The 6,381-nt window shown below is 57.1% G+C and overlaps 2 annotated features.

Moving 5' to 3' along the window:
• Nucleotides 3,851-4,000: a transcriptional cis regulatory region, noted in NCBI's record as "candidate enhancer chr19.129 targeted for multiplex CRISPR interference". NCBI's record gives its function as "positively regulates PTBP1 gene expression in K562 cells {active_cell/tissue: K562}" and the evidence as "EXISTENCE:mutant phenotype evidence [ECO:0000015][PMID:30612741]".
• Nucleotides 4,298-5,368: a transcriptional cis regulatory region, noted in NCBI's record as "candidate enhancer chr19.128 targeted for multiplex CRISPR interference". NCBI's record gives its function as "positively regulates WDR18 gene expression in K562 cells {active_cell/tissue: K562}" and the evidence as "EXISTENCE:mutant phenotype evidence [ECO:0000015][PMID:30612741]".

Below are 6,381 nucleotides of genomic sequence, written 5' to 3'. Positions count from 1 at the left end.
CCTCTCACCTACAGCTGGGGAAACTGAGGCCTGGACCTTGTACAGTCCGCGGCCGCCCGCCTACAGGTGGGGAAACTGAGGCCTGGACCTTGCAGTCCTTGGCCGCCCGCCTACAGCTGGGGAAACTGAGGCCTGGACCTTGTACAGTCCGCGGCCTCTCACCTACAGCTGGGGAAACTGAGGCCTGGACCTTGTACAGTGGGCGGCCGCCCGCTTACAGCTGGGGAAACTGAGGCCTGGACTTTGCACAGTCCGCGGCCAACCGCCTAAAGCTGGGGAAGCTGAGGTCCGGGCCACACACAGTCCACGGCCATCCGCCTACAGCTGGGGAAACTGAGGCCAAAGCCACACACAGTCCACGGCCATCTGCCTACAGCGGGGGAAACTGAGGCCCAGGCCACACACAGTCCACGGCCATCCGCCTACAGCTGGAGAAACTGAGGCCCGGGCTCCATACAATCCAAGGCCGCCCGCCTACAGGTGGGGAAACTGAGGCCCAAGCCACCCGCCTACAGCTGGGGAAACTGAGGCCCGAGCCCCCTACAGTCCCTGGCCCACTGACCTACAGCTGGGGAAACTGTGGCCTGGAGCTCGTACAGTTCGAGGCTGCCAGCCTACGGCTGGGGAAACTGAGGGCCAGGCCCAGCAGGGTCACCAGGAGGGTCCCTCCCGGGCCACCATCCCAGCAGCAGAAAACACCCTAAACTAATGTTCCCAGGAGCGCTGATCACATGAAGAGTCTGACAGAGCTGTGAGGGTGCCTGACGGGGAGGCCAGGTCAGCGGGTTGGGAGCCATCCCAGAGTGAGGGGATGACCCCGGCCCTCCACACTGGGACCCTCACGGGAGGCTGCGGTTGGAAACCGGAGCAGTTCCCGGCCCGGAGTAGACACTGCTCCCTAAATAGAATTAGCGGGATTTAGTCCATGCTGAAAAGGGGGTTTTTCATTAACACCAACCTACGGAGGGAGAAGACATGACAATTCTCGTTTCCCCAAATCCAGGCGAGCCTAGCGCCCTGCTTCTCTGGCGTGTTTTATTCCAGCAGTGCTGCGTTTCAGGCCGGGGCCTGGCGTGGGCCCAGGAGCCTTGGAGCCCCGCCGGGCGTCTGGTGCCAGAGGATTCCAGCCCGGATTAGGGGTGGCCGCCGAGCTCCATGGAGGCATCGCACGGCAAGGTCCTTTGGCCCGAACCACCCGGTCAACGGAGACTCACCAAGAGCCATCTGCAGCCAGGGTCACTCATCAGGAATGTCCGGTGGATCTGGGAGAAGCCCAGTGTGTTACTGTGGATTTGCTCCCCTGGAGACCCCCATCCTCACACCACCAGAACCAGCCGCTTCTGTCTGTTCGCGGAGTGCCTGGGATGGGCCCCGCCCTGAAAGCAGACAGGCAGGGGCGGCCGGGGGTCTGAGTGGCAGCTGGCAGCAGTAGAGACCACCAGGTTCCAAGCACCAGTCTAACCCTTCGGAATCGTGTTAAAACCCACTTCTGATCGTGGCCCCGCCAGGCCTCCTGTCTTGCTCAAAGTATAAACCCAAGGCCATCCCTTACCCCGCAAGCCCCACATGACCAGCCACCTGTCCAGTACCTTTTTTTATTTTTATTTTTTTAAGACAGTGTCTGGCCGGGTGCAATGGCTCACACCTGTAATCCCAGCACTCTGGCAGGCCGAGGTGAGTGGATCACCTGAGGTCAGAGTTCGAGACCAGCCTGGCCAACATGGAGAAACCTCCTCTCCACCAAAAATACAAAAATTAGCCAGGCGTGGTGGTGCATGCCCTATAATCCCAGCTCCTTGGGAGGCTGAGGCAAGAGAATCACTTGAACCCGGGAGGCGGAGGTTGCAGTGAGCCGAGATTGCGCCATTGCACTCCAGCCTGGGCAACAGGAGTGAAACTCTGTCTCTAAAAAACAAAAACGAAAATAAACACCTGTCATCCCAGCACTTTGGAAGGCCGAGGCAGGCGGATCACAAGGTGAAGAGCCTGAGACTATCCTGGCCAACATGGTGAAAGCCCGTTTCCACTAAAAATACAAAAATTTGCCGGGCGTGGTGGTTTGCTCCTGTAATCCCAGCTACTCGGGAGACTGAGGCGGGAGAATCACTTGAACGCGGGAGGCGGAGGTTGCAGTGAGCCTAGATTACGCCACTGTACTCCAGCCTGGGCAACAGAGTGACACGCTATCTCAAAAAAAAAAGTAAAAATAAAAAATAAAATGTATGTCGCGGAATTTAGGGTCTACCTGCAGACTCCAGGATGATCTCATCTCAAGACACTTAATGGTACCTTCAAAGACTGGTGTTCCAAATGAAGCCTTGTTCACGGGTTCCAGGGTTTAGGATGTGGTTGTCTTTCTTTGGGGCCACCTCTCAGCCCCTCAGCCCCACCCACCACCTGAAGCTTAGAGGGCGATAGCAGGTACAAGCAGGCCGTTTGTTTTTGCAATGGCGGCCTGGTCCCAGGAACCCCCCCCACCGCCTCCACCTCACCCAGGTCACCTGAAACCAGTGTCCTTCCTGGGCTGGCCTGACAGTAACCATGGCTGAGGGCCCAGCAATTTACAGGTCAGCTGTCATATGCAGAACGCCAGCGCGGGAAGACGCCCAGGGGCTCCCGTGGGCACCTGATTTATTTAGCGAGCAGGGCCCAGCCTCTGTCTTTTCTCCTCTCCTGTCTCCCATCCCAGCCCGCAGGCCAGCTGCCTCCTTCATGAATGATTCAGGGTGAGCGAGGAACAGGCTCACCTTGCCTTTGTGCGAGAATCACGTTGGTTTGCTGGTTACCATTTTGAAAATGATACTCTGAGCCTGGCAGGAGAAACGGGGGGGGGAGTGAGGACATCTGAGGCCCTCAGAGCCACCGAATCTCATGCAGAGGGCCTGCTGGGGCCTCAGACACCTTTCAGTTCTGATGGGGGAGGGAAGGGCCGTGCCTCAGTTTACTTCTTCGTCAACATGAGTGGCAGGGCCAGGCCGTCCCTCCTCCCCATGAGCAGTTCCATAGATTTATTTTTCCTTTTCCTTTTTTTTTGTTTTTTTTTTGGGGGGGATGGAACCTCACTCTATTGCCCAGGCTGGAGTACAGTGGCGCAATCTTGGCTCACTGCAACCTCTGCCTCCCGGGTTCAAGTGATTCTTCTGCGTCAGCCTCCTGAGTAGTTGGGATTACAGGTGCCTGCCACCACGCCTAGCTAATTTTTGTATTTTTATTCTTATTTTTTTATTTGATTTATTTTTTTCTTTTTCTGAGACGGCGTCTCGCTCTGTCGCCCAGGCTGGAGTGCAATGGCGTGATCTCAGCTCACTGCAACCTCCGCCTCCTGGGTTCAAGCGAGTCTCCTGCCTCAGCCTCCCGAGTAGCTGGGACTACAGGCGCCCACCACCATGCCCAGCTAATTTTTATACTTTTAATAGAGACGGGGTTTCAGCATGTTGGCCAGGATGGTCTCGATCTCTTGACCTTGTGATCTGCCCTCCTTGGCCTCCCAAAGTGCTGGGATTACAGGCCACCCTGTAATCCACCTGTGAGCCACCACACCCAGCCTAATTTTTGTATTTTTAGTAGAGATGGGGTTTCACTGTGTTGGCCAGGCTGGTCTCGAACTCCTGACCTCAGGTGATCTGCCCGCCTTGGTCTCCCAAAGTGCTGGGATGACAGGTGTGTGCCCGCACAGCCAGCACAGGTTTATTATCTTAATTACAAAAGTGAGGGCTCAGGGATCCAGGGCGCGGCCTCGGGCTGGTCTCCTGGGTGGTCTCCCAGCCTCTCCGGCCCATTTCCTGGATTTCTGTTGAACGGAGCTTGGAGTGGGGGTTCGGTGAGGCCACCCCAAGGCCTGATGGCCAGGACTCACGGACAGGAATGCATTGCTATTCCCTGGCCTCACTATACCCCATGCAGAACCACTTCCGTCCTGTGCTCTGTGCTCTGGGAATCAACTGCGGCTCGAGGCTGGTCCCGCCCCTCCAAGCTGGGACAGTGGGTTGGTATAGGAAGTAGAGATCCTAAAGGGAATGGGGGCTTTATTTATTTTTTGTTTATTTATTTTTTTGAGGCAGGGTCTCACTCTGTTGCCCAGGCTGGAGTGCAGAGGCACAGTCTCGGCTCCCCACAGCCCCAACCTCCCCAGCTCAGGTGATCCTCCCGCCTCAGCCTCTCGGTAGCTGGGGCTATAAGCAAGTAGTTCCACCACGCCTGGCTCATTTTAAAAAATGTTTTGTAGACACAGAATCTCACCGTGTTACCCAGGCTGGTCTCAAACTCCTGGGCTCAAGGGGTCCTCCTGCCTCAGCTGCCCAGTGTGCTGGGATGACAGGTGTGAGCTGCCACACCCGGCCTGAGAGGTCCTGTAAATTAGCCCCTCAACTCCTTTCTCCCCCACCCTCTCCAGTCTCTGTTCATCCCCCACCCCAAGAAGGACCCCTGTCCCTGCAAGGGGTGGTGGGCCCAAGGATCTGCCCCCGAATTATCAAAGTCACTTCTCAAGAGTCTTCTCATCCCAGGACACCTCCCTATGCCCAGACCTCAGGGAGACCAGCCTCTCCCCACCCCCACCCTGGGCCCTCAGGCCAACAGGAAAAGGCCACAGCGTTATCTGCCCAGACCCATCCTTCCCCACCCCATCCGCCTCTCCCCCAGGCCTGGCACCCCGCCATTCTGTGCTCCCCTCCCCAGCCTGACCCTCTTTCCCCACCCCACCCAGGGGAGTTCAGCTGGAGCTGGGCCCTGACCCTCCTCCCTACCCCCAGGGGAGTTCAGCTAGAGCTGGGCCCTGATCCTCCTCAATCCCCCCTAGAGCTGGGTCCTGAGCCTCCCCCCTCCCCCCTCCCCCCGGGGGAGTTCAGCTAGAGCTGGGCCCTGACCCTCCCCCGTCCCCTAAGAGGCCCTGTGGGTCTGAACTCAGGCAGAGAACTTGCTAGGAACTTCCAAAGAGGGTGCTGAGGTGCGTGGATCCCTGAGATCAGGAGTTCAAGATCAGCCTGGCCAACATGGGGAAACCCCGTCTCCCACTAAAAAAACAAAAATTATCTGGGCATGGTGGTGGGTGCCTGTAACCTCAGCTCCTCGGGAGACTGAGGCAGGAGAATTGCTTGAACTCAGGAGGCGGAGGTTGCAGTGAGCCGAGATGGGGCCATTGCACTCTAGCATGGGTGACGGAGCAAGACTCTGTCTCAAAAAAAAAAAAGAGGGGTGGGGCTTGGCTTGGGGATGTGCCAGCACTGGGGGCCGGCCCTCAGGAACCCCGCAATTCTCCTCCTATTCATGCCCCTGAGAGAAGGGGAAACACAAGTCCACACAGAAACGCGTACATGAACGTTCATCGTAGTGTTATTCACGGAGGCCACATGTGGAAACAGCCCAAATTCCCGTTAGTGGAAGAAAAGACCAACCCAGTGCCGGCCGTCCACCGCGGAACACAACTCAGCGTGAAAAGGATCCAGGCTCTGACCCAGGCCACAGCGCGGATGCACCTTAAGGACGTCACGCTCCGTGAGAGACGCCAGACACAGAAGGACACACAGCGTGTGATCCCATTTATTTTATTTTTTCGAGACAGAGTTTGGCTCTTGCTGCCCAGGCTGGAGTGCAATGGCACGATCTCAGTTCACTGCAACCTCTGCCTCCTGGTTCAATCAATTCTCCTGCCTCAGAGTCCCAAGGAGCTGAGATTGCAGGCACCCACCACCAAGCCCAGCTAATTTTTGTATTTTTAGTAGAGATGGGGTTTCACCATGTTGGCCAGGCTGGTCTCAAACTCCTGACCTCAGGTGATCCGCCCGCCTCGGCCTCCCAAAGTGCTAGGATGACAGGCGTGAGCCACCGCGCCTGGCCCCGTGTGATCCCATTTCTATGAAATATCCAGGCCAGGGGGGTGGGGGCTCACACCTGTCATTCCCAGCCCTTTGGGAAACCCAGGCGGGAGGATCCCTTGAGGCCAGGAGTTCAAGGCTGTAGTTAGCTGGGATCCCACCACTGCACTCCATCCTGGGCCACAGAGTGAGATCCCATCTCAAAAAATTAAATAAAGCCAGGCCCAGTGGCTCACGCCTGTAATCCTAGCACTTCGGGAGCCCGAGGCAGGCAGATCGCCTGAAAACCCTGTCTCGGCCGGGTGTGGTGGCTCATGCCTGTAATCCCAGCAGTTTGGGAGGCTGAGGTGGGTGGATCACCTGAGGTCGGGAGTTCAAGACCAGCCTGACCAACATGGTGAAACCCTTTCTCTACTAAAAATACAAAATTAGCCAGGTGTGGTGGTGCATGCCTGTAATCCCAGCTACTCGGGAGGCTGAGGCAGGAGAATCGCTTGAACCTGGGAGGCGGAGGTTGCAGTGAGCTGAGATCGCACCATTGCACTCCAGCCTGGTGACAGAGTAAGAC

The sequence above is a fragment of the Homo sapiens genome, chromosome 19 (assembly GCF_000001405.40).
Source record: "Homo sapiens chromosome 19, GRCh38.p14 Primary Assembly".
NCBI classification, from domain to species: Eukaryota; Metazoa; Chordata; class Mammalia; order Primates; family Hominidae; genus Homo; species Homo sapiens.
Note: the sequence above shows the minus strand (reverse complement) of the source record. Positions and strands in the feature narration are given on the sequence as shown.